This window comes from Homo sapiens, chromosome 16, assembly GCF_000001405.40.
Source record: "Homo sapiens chromosome 16, GRCh38.p14 Primary Assembly".
Taxonomy (NCBI): Eukaryota; Metazoa; Chordata; class Mammalia; order Primates; family Hominidae; genus Homo; species Homo sapiens.
The window spans coordinates 23,666,160-23,678,888 of record NC_000016.10 but is presented as its reverse complement, the minus strand read 5'-3'; the positions used below and the strand labels follow the sequence as shown (position 1 = coordinate 23,678,888).

Here is a 12,729-nt window from a genome sequence, read left to right as displayed (position 1 = left end):
GCACCGCTCCGCTCCTCCCCGAATTCAAACGCGGCGCTGGGAACGTTACAAAAGCCTGCGCGCCACTGATTGGCCGCGGGGATTTAAAATCCAAACCCGCCCGCCGCGCGGCACCATGGGAGCGCCCTGCGCAGCAGCAGCCTTTAAACCCGGACCCAGCCGGGGAAAACCTGATTGACACGGACGCCCGAACACGTGGGATAGCCTGGGAAACCAAACCCGGCGTGGATGCGGAGACCCAGCCCCGAGAGAGGAGGAATTCCTTCGGGGTTTCTCCCTTTCTCGGGCGTCCGGGAAAGCTCCTGCGGTTCACTTGCGCCTCCTCCAGGAAGCTTTTACTTAAATCTTCCTCTACCTCGGGGCCAGGGAACAGTAGCATCGCCATCACCTGAGAGCTTGTTAGAACCGCAAAGGCAAACGTTCAGGCCCTACCCCAGACCTCCCGAGTCAGTGTCCGCCTCTCAACAAGACTGCTCAGGTGATTCCTACACATCCTGAAGTTGGAGAAGCACAGTACCAGAGCCCCCCATGATGCAACGAAGCTGTCTGGCCTCCTCGCTACTGAATTTCCCAGGGCCTAAAATAGTGGACACTCAGTTTCTTGGTCAGAGGGAGGGAAGGTTGGAAGAATGCCTAGCAAACTGGCAGGTCATAGCCAAATGTGTCTTGCGGGGTTTTGTTTGGCCTCCCCCCACGCCTTTTTTTTGTGTGTGTGACGGAATCTTGCTCTGTCGCCCAGGCTGGAGTGCAGTGGCACGATCTCAGCTCACTGCAACCTCTGCTTCCCGGGTTCAAGCAATCCTCCCGCCTCGGCCTCCCTAGCAGCTGGAATTACAAGCATGCACCACCATGCCCGGCTAATTTTTGTAATTTTAGTAGAGAAGAGGTTTCACCATGTTGGCCAGGCTGGTCTTGAACTCCTGACCTCAAGTGATCTGCCCCTCGGCCTCCCAAATGCTGGGATTACAGGCGTGAGCCACCGCGCCCCGCCATTGTAAAACATTTACAGCATTTAAAAGAGGAGCTCATAAAAGTTGGGATTTGTGGCCTTTCCTGAAAAAAATCAGCTCTAGCTACTTACTCTGTGCCTACATGCTTTCAGTTTGCCACAGTTTACAGCTACACCCGTTTGTTCTGTAGGTACTTGAGTGGCAACCCTGGAACAGTAAAATACCCACGTTAAAAGCTCTTTCTCTGTGCCTCCTTAGCACCCTCTGATCCTTCATAGAGCCCAGCAAAAATCAACCATACTATAAGCATCCTTCACCTGCCTTGCAGCTAAGCTGAAGGACAATGAGGACAATGATGCCGTCCTTTCTACCCCATGTCCCAAGCTCCCAGAGCAGTGCTTGGTAAAAAAAAAAGGGTACTTACTAAAATGTTGGCTGAATAAAAGGAAGACTTTGAAAAATTAAGTTATTTTGTACCCCTATAGTGTGAATTCTTTTTATTGAAATTTAATACACTTACAGAAAAAAATGTACATATTATAATTGTTCATAGAGCTCAGTGAATTTTCACAAACTGAACAAATCTGTAAACCACACCCAGATTGAGAAAGGGAACATGACAAACACCCTGCAAGTCTCCCTTGTGCCCTGTGCTGGGGGGTGCCAACACCACCACCTCCTAGTCTGATGATGTACTAGGAGATTCACAGACTCAGCCTGTAGTCATACTCATGGCTATGTTTTACTACAGCGAAAGGCTAGGAAGCAAAATCAGCAAAGGAAAAAAGCGCATGGACAAAGTCCAGGGAAACCAGGTGTAAGCCTCCCACAGTCCTCTCCCAGCAGAGTCACATAGGACACAATTCCTCCAGCAATCAGTTGTGACAACCCATGTGCAATGTTGTATACAAGGGAAGCTCATTACAGACTCAGTGTTCAGGGTTCTCATTGGGAGCTGCTCACCTCATCCTCTGCCTAACACATATGAAAATCTGACTCCCAGAAGGAAAGCAGATGTTGGGCATAACCCACATTGTTTGTACGAACAGTTTAGGCACAGTGAGCCACTCTTATCATTTAGGGAGTAATGAGAACCCTCCTGAAATCCAAGCTTTCAGATGCCAGCCAAGGGCCAGCCTTGCAAACAGGCCTGCTTTCTCATCTCTTTTCACACAGTCCATCTCCTTATTGAGGCTTCTTTACAGCAAAATTATTATTAGTAGGACCACATGCAAAAGGGTGAGACCAACCTCAAATATGGACCTCAGTTCTTCCTGGTAGGGGTCCTGGACTTAACCAGCTAAAATAAATCCCATTAACCATAAAGTCTATCTTAGGAAGCCAGGTGGCTTCCTCCTTAATTCCTTTTTGTTGTTGTTGTTGAGATGGAGTCTTGCTCTGTCACCCAGGCTGGAGTGCAGTGGCGTGATCTTGGCTCACTGCAGCCTCCACCTCCTGGGTTCAAGCGATTCTCCTGCCTCAGCCTCCCGAGTAGCTGGGACTACAGGTGCACACCACCACACCCAGCTAATTTTTTTATTTTTGTAGGGACTACAGGTGCACACCACCACACCCAGCTAATTTTTTTATTTTTGTATTTTTACTTTTCACCATGTCGGTCAGGCTGGTCTCAAACTCCTGACCTCAGGTGATCTGCCCACCTCAGCCTCCCAAAGTGCCGGGATTACAGGCATGAGCCACCGTGCCCAGCCCTTAATTGCTGTCTGAACCTTTTTTTTTTTTTTCAACCTGACCTGAGGCATCAATTCAGGCACAGTATAACTCTGACCAGTAAGCGGAAGCTAACCCAAATGCTTTCCAGGGCTGAGGGGACATCATGAGAGTTGTGGTCATGTACAGAAGCACAGTCCCAGGGGCACAGGTGGTACCCCTGTAAACAAAGAATTTGCAATATTAGGGCACCTCAAGCAGGACATCCATTAGGCTGTACAGGTGAACAGACCTCCTACCAGGGGAACTCCTGCCCAAGTGTTTCCAGTCCCATCTGAAAAGTTCCCAGAGTCCTTGGCTTCCAAGGGACTGCCTGAAGGCAGTGAGTCCCAAACAGTTTTGCTTGTTCAGGATACAAGTTGATCCATCTCATGAGCATGGATGACATTTGTGGGAGATCTTCATGGAAAGCATAGAAGCTAGACCCACTCTGTTGTCAGTCTGAACTCAAAGCACTCACAGCACATGGAAAGGCAGCACTGGGAATTTTCCTTCAGCAAGAGGAGGCTTCCAGGGATCAAGCCTCCCCAGGTGCCAGGCTTTAATTATTTTCTCCAATATTACAAAAACAGTCGTGCCCTGTTCAGCAATCATAACATTGCATTTTTTCAACCATCTCTTACTCTCAGCTAGGCCTTTCCTCTGGAAGGGTTGTATGTAAGAGGCACAAAAGCATTTTTGTAGATAAACTTTTTTTTTTTTTTTTTTGAGATATGGTCTGGCTCTGTTGCCCAGGCTAGAGTGCGGTGGCACGATTTTGGCTCACTGCAACCTCCGCCTCCTGGGCTCAAGCCATCCTCCTACCTCAGCCTCCTAAGTAGCTGGAACCAAAGGCACATGCCATCATGTCCAGCTAATTTTTGCATTTTTTGTAGACACAGGATTTCACCATGTTGCCAGGCTGGTCTTGAACTCCTGAACTCAAGCAATCTGCCCACCTCGGCCTCCCAAAGTGCTGGGATCATATGCATCCATCACTGCGCCTGGCCAACATTTTTTTTTTTAACTATCATCCTAGAGTTCAAGTAGATAAACGTTTTTATGCAACTTAACCAGAAAGACATTCAGAAATTGGTAATTATGTGTGGAGGGTTGAATTATGTCCCCACAAAAATTCATGCTGAAGCCCTAACCATCTACCTGTACCTCAAAATGTGAGTATATTTGAAGATAGGCCCTGAAGAGGTAACTAAGTTAAAATGGGATTGTTAGGATGGGCCCTAATCCAACCTGAGTGGTATCCTTATTAAAAGAGAAGATTAGGACACAGACACCCAGACAGAGGGACCATACAAGGACACAGTAAGAAGGCAGCCATCTGCAAGCCAAGCAGAGAGGCCTCAGAAGAATCTAAAGCTGTCGACACCTTGTCCTGGACTTTCAGCCTCCAGAACTGCAGGAAAATAAGTTTCTATTGTGTAAGTCACTCAGTTTGTGGTACTTTGTTATGGTATCCTTAGCAAACTAATAAAGGATGAAACCCTGAATTTTTAAAAATTTCAAAATGTGTTTACATAATCTTCTACCCCTTTTGTCCTGATTATTCAATGAGCAGACTAGAAAAGCCTAATACCTTTCTGGGGACAGCTACGTTTTAATAATCCACCTACCTTACTAAGCTGTGTGTGCTGGGAGAAAAGTGAGGGAAGTAGAGTCAGGCTGTCAGTCCACTGTTGCAAGCTGCAACTAATCCCAAAAGCTGAATGCAACAAGTCAACAGCAGTGAGAGAAGCCCCAGAGAAGGTTTGAGTCTGGTCTGTCAAAAGCAGGAGGAGAGGTCATAGTCCTTGCGATGTGCCCTTCCCCAGCTTGGAGCGTTTGGCAAATATTAGAAGTTAGGAATGCAATTAGCCTCTGTATTAGAGACAAAGAGCCTATCAGCAGCTTGATCTTAGATGGTCCCATTAGAGAATAAGCCCTTTTCAGCCAGGTTCCAGGACGTTTTCATAGTTTAGCGCTCCACGGAGGGGGTCCTTAATCTCCAACGGCCCCAACGTCTGAGTCCTGGTCATTGAGCCTGTGCCTGCTTTCAGTTCAGCATAGCTCGTGTTGAGGCTAAAACAGCTCAAGGCAGACAGTAGCAGGTTTCAGCTTAGAGTCAGGGCCAGGCAATTAGGATCTGAGAATTTGAGATTCTCAACAAGCAGCTGCTTTTCTTCAGCAGCAGTGAAGGCATGCTGCATGGCCAGACAGCTGTGGTCCAAGTGACATGCAAGGCTGCCTTTTTATCTTGTTGGTCTTAGAGTCCAATTGACCCACTCAAAAAAAATGCATATTAGACTAGACAATCATCAGCCTCTAAGGGGAGACATTTGATTTTGACAAGGGTTCATTAGCAATTTAACTGTATTTTCATTTTCCAAACAGATTGCTTCTCTTTACATGTTGTCTCCCTCTTTCCCGAGGCTCCAGTAAGCACGAATCACAGCAAAAATAATCAGTTACAGCCTGTTCTGGTTCCAATATCCGAAGAATTTAAATTCCAACCTATCCACTAGTGGCAAAAAACTAGAAAGCTGTATCCCACTAACACCTTTCATATTTTATTTTTGAGTAGCTTTATTTGATTAGGGTGATCCCTCTAGCATTTATGAAATTAACAAGCATAAAACTTTTTTTTTAAGAGATGAGTAGCTGGGACTACAGGCGCACGCCACTGCGTCCAGCTAAGGTATGTTTTTTAAGCAATGAAATCAACCAGTAAAAACAAGTTCAAATATTTTTCATTCACACACTCAAGGCCTGCTGAGCATCCACTGCATGTGTTTTACTTGTTCCATTAGAAAGGTTTATTAAAAAATGGCGGGGCACAGTGGCTCATGACTGTAATCCCAGCACTTAGGGAGGCCAAGATCGCTTGAGCCCAGGAGTTCAAGACTAGTCTGGGCAACATGGTAAAACCCTGTCTCTATTTAAAAAATAAACAAATACAAGCAAGTTTTTTTTTAAAAAATGATATATTAAAGAAAATCCTCCTAATTCTCTTATGTCTTTTCATAGCTGTTTCCATGTTCTCATATTCCCATCCTTGTCAACATGGAATTTTTGTTGTTGTTGTTGTGGTTTTTTTTTTTTTTTTTGAGACGGAGTCTCGCTCTGTCGCCCAGGCTGGAGTGCAGTGGCACAATTACAGCTCACTGCAAGCTCCGCCCCCTGGGTTCGCGCCATTCTCCTGCCTCAGCCTCCCAAGTAGCTGGGAATACAGGCACCCGCCACCATGCCTGGCTAATTTTTTTGTATTTTTAGTAGAGATGGGGTTTCACTGTGTTAGCCAGGATGGTCTTGATCTCCTGACCTCGTGATCTGCCCACCTCGGCCTCCCGAAGTGATGGGATTACAGGCTTGAGCCACTGCGCCTGGCCAAACATGGAATTTGTTTTATACAGTTGCAATTATGGTCCATTAATACAATCTATTTGTATGTTATCAGTAACAGTAATACTAACAGTGAACCCTTATTAAGCATTTACTATGTGCCAGGCACAAGGCTAAGAGTTTTACAGAGATGATCTCATTTACCTTGGGTTACTTACCCAACCAAGGTTTATAGCCAGCAGGTGGCAAAGCTTGAATTCCAACCCAACTCTGCTGACTCCCAACTACACCCACCTGCACACTTGCCTCTTGGGCCTTGTTTGTCTGGCAAGTCCTAAATCCCAGACTCATTTGTTCACTTGCTTGCTTCCTCCCTCCCTCCCTACCAAAACACAGTATGATCTGTCGGTTAAACTCAATAGACTAAAAACTCCGGGTTCAAATGCTAGCTCCTCCATCACTAGCTGTATGACCTTGGGAAAGTACTTAATCTCTCTGTGCCTCAATTTCCATGTTTATAAAATGGGATAAAGTGCCCATTATAGTGCCCATTTCCTAGGATTCTATCCAGGAGATGATGTGCCTATTTCCTAAGGTTCTTATAATGAGATTCTGCAAGGACAGCACTCCAAATAGTACAGGCACATGGTTTTGACAGTTGTTTCTGTTATTATTGAAATAAAAAGAACCTATACCTGTTCCCAGGAAGCTCAGAGTCTCTCACAGGCCTTTTCAGTTCCTGGGGCTCTCATATTTCCTCATTCTCCCAGACTCCTCTGACCCTACTCTTCCTCAGGTTCTTACTGCTCCTGTGGGAAATCAGAAAGAGCAGCCAGCAGACAACACCAACTGAGATGAATGCAGCTGAAATGGCACAGGTCAGTATGGCCAAGAAACACCATGGGCTAATGTTCAGACCCATGGTATGAAAGCCAGAGTGGGTGTGAATTTCACTCCCATGTCTCTTATCTTGGATGGTTTTCATCTGCATGACCCATTTGCCCAATGCCCAATGGATGTGAAGATACAGAAAAGTCCAGGTACTGTTTTCAGGGAAGTAAGATGTCCTGTGCCAACTCTTCTCACTTCAGGGTCCAAGTCAGAGTGCACAAGGAAAGCAGGTGGGGCTGGCCCACCAGCAAAAGCTTCAGGAGAGCAAGGGATTGGCTGACTGGGCTGCAAGGGTAGTGTTCAAAGCCAGCTGCCTTGGAGGCCAAGATAGTGGAGGAGCTGCATAAAACATGGATTTTGCAGCCAAGTAAGAGCTGGCCTTGATTCCAGCTCAGCCATTTATTAGATGTGTGGCATTGGGCAAATTTACTTAACCTCTCTGAATATCAGTTTCCTCTGCTGTAAAACAGGCTGTGAAACTCTCACTTTTTTGACAGTTGGGAGGATTAAATGTTTGCACCCCATAGATACAAAACAAGGAAGGGTGATTTCTCCATCTCTTGTTTGTGGCGGACTGATTATAAAGGGCAAGATGTTTTAAATTTTATTTTAAATTTTAAAAATATGTAAGAATGCTATGCCTTATACTCTAAGGGGTTTTGCTCAAGGTGTATCACTTCCTAATAAAAGTGCCTAATAAACTGCCGTTTATTGAGTGCTCACCCTGAGCCAGTACTTATGCTTTACATGTATAAATGCATTTCAATCATCATAATACCCTATCCAACTTCCCCATTTTATGGATGAGAAACCTGAGGTTCCACGAAGTAAGATAACTTGCTCAAAGTCACAAGGCTAGCCAATGGCAGGCTGGGATTTGATCAGCCTGACTCTAGCACTCACACTCCTCACCACTATGATGGCTCTCAAAATGGGCCCCTCAGACCCTCTCTGTATTTTGACTCTTTGGCTTTCTCACTCACTAAGCTGTGAGATCCCTATGAGAAAGAACTGGCTCCATCTTAGTCTCCACTGTATCCCCAGGACCTAGGAAGTGCTTGGCACCTAGTAGTGGCTTGGAAAGCACTTGTTAAATGAATAAATGAGTGATGGTGTCTCTCTTCTCTGTGCAGCATATGGTGAGGGGCCCACCTTCTTACCCCTAAATGGAAGCAAGCACATATTCTACTAAAAGCACAAGCCCATTGCTGGGGGGCTCTAGAAGTGTTTCAGTTATCATGTACTTATGGGAACTGTAGAAGTTGGCGAGACATTTTGCTGAGACCAGTTCTGAAAAAACCAGGCCTTCGGACACGCTGTCCCAACACTGCCAGTATCATTTCAGGGGACTTGCAGCTCCATGGAAGCTAACCCCCAGGAGACCAGCCAGCTGGATTTGACTACCTATAGTCACCATCCAGGTTGTCAGATGCCAATTTTTTTTCAGGAGAACCGCTGAGGCTAGCCAGAATATGGCTGGGCAGCACCCTCTAGGCTCTCACTGGATAGAACAGGATACAGAGAAAGGCCTCCCTAGCCACCAAGACCTCTTCCTTATAGCTGAGAAACTTCCAAGGATATGTTAACTATGAACAATGTTTGTCTGATTAATTTCAAGTCTGCCAGATGTATCAGTGACTAAGAAAGGAACTGTGGCCTCAGATCCTGAGTGAAATGGTTCATGCAGAAGTGACTAATACAGAAGCCACCACCCCAACCCCAAATAACCACAAGGGCTCTGTGCAGCCATGTAAAACAGAATCAGTCAACAGGAGGCTCACAAGACAATCATTCACCTTTGTTCCCTGCAGCAGGTATCCTGCAATCTGAGACTTATCTTGAGCTGGGGTAAGGTCTGAGGCATGCTGGCAGGGTGTGTGAGGGTTGGGGGTGAGGGTGGTCACATCCAGGCAATCATTCTATTAAGGATGTGCTAGATGACCCACAGACTCAGGCCTGACTCCTCAGGAGCTCACAGTTAGTAGGGGTTCAGACAAGAACACAGGTACATAACTAAAACTCTATTGATAAGGGCGCCTCGGTAAGGTGCTATGGGAACCATAAGGATGCAGTTCCATGGCCCAGTCAGCTCATCTGGGGAAAAATAATAAAACAAAAAGGAAGCAGTTCCAGACAGAAGACCATCTCCAAATGGTTCTTTATTGAACACCCACTTTGGCTAGGCAATATCCTCCCCCTGCCCTCTAATCCAGGCTCAGGTACCCCCAGTGGAGTATCCTCAGAAGGCAACTCCCAAGACCAGGAGTAATGAGAGATTGGGCAGAGGGTAAGGGACAGCAGGGAGACGGAGGAAAATGAAGACACCAGGGAAAGAGGAGAGGCCTGAACTGGACAGCTGATGCTTTGTCCTGCCCAGCACCCATTCGTCCCTTCTTCAGGTAATATCATCTGCCACCACAACCACCAGCACCAACTCTCAGTCTCTGTGGGTACATGCCAGGCCTGTCCATTTGGTGTATTCCATCTTCCTGGCCACAATGATGACTTGAGGCTGGATACCTTCCTCGTCTGGACCAATGAGAACCAAATCCAGCAGTTCTGTCAGCAAAGGGGAGCTCTTTTTATCAATAACTGGTGCTGTGGGGCCACACTGTGAAGCCCAAGAATAAAGCCAACTCAAATGAAAGCAGAGCTGAGAGCCAAAGAGACAGATCCCTGTTTGGAGTCCTGGGATGCAGCCTGAAGCCCAATCTAGCCCATCCTTTTCAGCTACGTGAGCCATTAAATTCCCTCTGCCCCAAGTGAACTGGAAAGAGTCCCAACCAAGGTCCTTCCCATCTGGTTGTTCTTCTGGAAGTATTTTGAGGACAAGGAGATTTTCATCTCCAGGGTTATAAAAGTAATTGTGTGGTGACAGGCTGTTCCTAGGTCCCTGGGGTGAGAGCCACCATGGAGACAGAGTCCAGCTCGCCTTTCCTAGGATACACACTCACGACTGTCAACACATCTTCGAATACATCAGCACATAATTATAAACTCCTATTGTTTGTAGTAGCTATTGTTTTTGTCTTCCCATCACCTTGTTTTGGATGAAGAAAAGGTCATGACCCAGACTGGATTAATCATGTGGCCAAACATGCATGGCCACAGTGACTGATCCAAGAGGACATGGAACTCACAACAAACCATTGAGAACTTTGGGAGTTTCCAAATTCGAACTGGAAGGGAAGAAACCTTTCATTCAGAGCCCCCAAGCTAGGAGGATGCAGGTCTGGAGCTATCAGCTGTCATGGCTCCAAATGCACGGCGAAGGCTCATGTGCAGCAGGAGGAAAGGAAGCCAACAAAGAGGCCTGGTTGAGTCTGCTTGTTGTCTCCCAATGGCCATTCTTCCCCCACTCCTTTTTACTAGCAGAATCTCCTTCCTCAGAGTTTTGGCTGCCCAAGTAGAAACTAAATTTACAGCCTCCTTTGTTGCTAACTGTGGCCACATGGCAAGACAGTAGGAACCTGGGTGCCTGATGACATCATGGACCAGCCCCTTGCCTGGCCTGGACCAGCTGACTATCACTGCACTGTTATGGGAGAGAGAAATAAACTTCCATCTTGTCGAAGCTATGTATTTTGGTGGTTTTATGTATAAACATTTTAAAAATAACAAACTAGAAAGGAGTTCTAGATGGAACTAGTGGCAATGATTACATACAGCTGTTTTGTTTTGCAAACCCCACAACTGGATATTAAGTCAGGATAGCTCCTGCTAAATTCTAACCTCAAGGCTGAACTGTTCTGCCCTATTCACTTACAGATCAGAGCATTAGGCAAGGACAACCTTCTTAGCCCCTCACTTCTGAATCTTCCTTCTAAGCTAAGAGGTCAGAGCAGAACGAGGAAATGTTGTGCTATTTGGCCAGAAGGAGATGGTAAGAACAGCCCTAGTAACTTCATTTACTCCTGAGGCTCTGTGCCCACAAACTGATTCTAAGAGCCCTTCCTGTATATATGCGAATTAGCTCTAAGTACAGACATTTTGGTGTGAATTGTGGAGTTTATGGCAAATACAGGGTAGGCTGAATGGTTCTAGGCCAGGAAGCAAGAGTTCACAAATGCGGTGTCTTCAATGAAATAAGGTAAGTACCTTGAAGCAAGGAGTAACCACCTGACTAATGCATCCACATGAGAGACTCAAATCTAACACTTGGCAAAATTACAATCTGGGATACTGAGGTCCCCACTTTTAGTGAAAGCCAAAGGCCCTAGGTCAAAATGCTAAAAAGTCTTTTACTAACTATCCTAGGACAGCTAAGGTCATTTTGGGAAGAAGAGAGAAACACTATTCACCCCTCCCTTCAAGTTTTAATAGACAACAGGAATCTGGGCTCTGAAAAGTCACAAACACCTTTCCCAAGATGATGAGCAACTGCAACAACTGGCCAAATGTGTTAGCAGCAGAAAAGCTGGGCATTACCTGTGTGAGAGGCGCTCAGCATGGGCAGTGAATGGCCGTGAGCAGCGCACCAGCTACATAGCCTCCACACCGGAAGGGTGCTGCTGCTCTGCAGGTCCGTTTCAGGCGGGATCCAGCCATCCACAGGACCAAGGGGCTGGAGTGTTGGGAACAGATGATTCTGTGTTCCACAGATAATGGTACAAAGTGACTGTTCATAGATAAGGTGTAAGCACAGCATTTGAAGACAGCTCCTCCAGATGGTCTGTCTGTTAGTGAATTCTTAAGCACTTAGAGCCTTGAAGATTGAGAAATTCTAAAGAAATTTTTTAAAAGGAGGAGGGTGGTAGATGTCAAAGACACAAAAGCTCTTTGTAGGTGCTGACTGGCTCACTTTGTCCCCAGGTTCATCTTAGAGCTCAAGCAGATTCAAGACATGAGGCAGAGATGCTAGACTTGCGTCAGGGGCAAAAACTTCTGGTAGTAGCTCTTGGTGACGTCAATCATCAGCTCCTGAGTGCACTCCGGGAGCTCCCCTGAGAAGAGTCCTGGGGAAAGAAAGACCCAGCTCTAAGGAGCTTGAAGAAGTTACAAGAAGTTAAGATATTTCTCTGGCAATATCCTTCTCACCTCAATCAGATGCATGTCTGACAATCACTTAAATAATCGCTGAGGCTGTTCTGGTCCAGTGCTTGCTAAGAACAGCTAAACTTTTTCACAGCAGGACCCCAATATGGAGAAATTACTAAACAAAAGTCTCTCCTTCCTCCTCTGCAAAAGCAGAGATGCATGACACGGTAGAATGGCCAAATGCCTCCCCGAAGAATCTGAGTGATGATTTTGTTCATCTTAGAAACTCAGATTCAATGATCTGAGAGATGAGATTTATTTTTTAATTGGAAAAACAATTAAACCACTCAGTGGTAGGTATCATATACTGTCAAATCTCTCTGTTCATATTATTTTCCATCTGTGAATTTATGACGTGCCTCTGTATATGCTACATGATTTCAGCTGTGTAAAACAACATGGAGAAGAAGATACTGTCTTGGGGTAGGGCTAAGGGAATGTGAGGTTTTCTCCTTCCTTCTGCTTTTCAGTGTTTTCCAAGTTTTCTGAGAGAAGTACGTATCACTTTTGTTTCCTCAAGCTTTATAATTTGGAACTCCGGGCTCCTGATGGGCTTTACTTGTGAGCATTCTATCAGCCAAGGTCCAGAGATAATGTATTAATATTTGCCCCTCTCAGGTATCCCCAGGGTATTGCTGGTCTTAGACCATGGTTTATGCTAACTTTTCAGTCTGGGAATTCCTGGGCCATGTGGAATGTACAAATTAAACCCATGACCAATGTGAGGGTAAGCCCAGTACTAAAATTCTCTAGACAGACTTTTTCTACCCAGAGTCCAGGCCAGGCAAGAAATGCTTTCTTGTAC

General features: G+C 45.9%; 1 protein-coding gene across 5 annotated transcripts in view, besides 1 other annotated feature; it reads right to left on the bottom strand.

Moving 5' to 3' along the window:
• Positions 1-1,416: 1,416 nt before the first annotated feature.
• DCTN5 (dynactin subunit 5) overlaps positions 1,417-12,729 on the bottom strand; it is a 36,007-nt gene continuing 24,694 nt past the window's right edge. For 2 of the 5 annotated variants that reach the window (NR_037573.2, NM_032486.4), the window contains one exon: positions 1,417-11,842. Coding sequence is in view for 2 of the 5 variants with exons in the window: in NM_032486.4 (NP_115875.1) it covers positions 11,745-11,842 (98 nt within the window). In the remaining 3 variants the exon portion in view is untranslated. Of the gene's footprint in view, positions 11,873-12,729 lie in introns of all 5 variants that reach the window. The other 3 variants (XR_001752007.3, XR_001752006.3, NM_001199743.2) reach the window with 3 other exon arrangements.
• Positions 8,246-8,475: an enhancer, noted in NCBI's record as "active region_10586". NCBI's record gives its function as "activates an Ori minimal core promoter by ATAC-STARR-seq in GM12878 lymphoblastoid cells {active_cell/tissue: GM12878}" and the evidence as "EXISTENCE:reporter gene assay evidence [ECO:0000049][PMID:35858748]".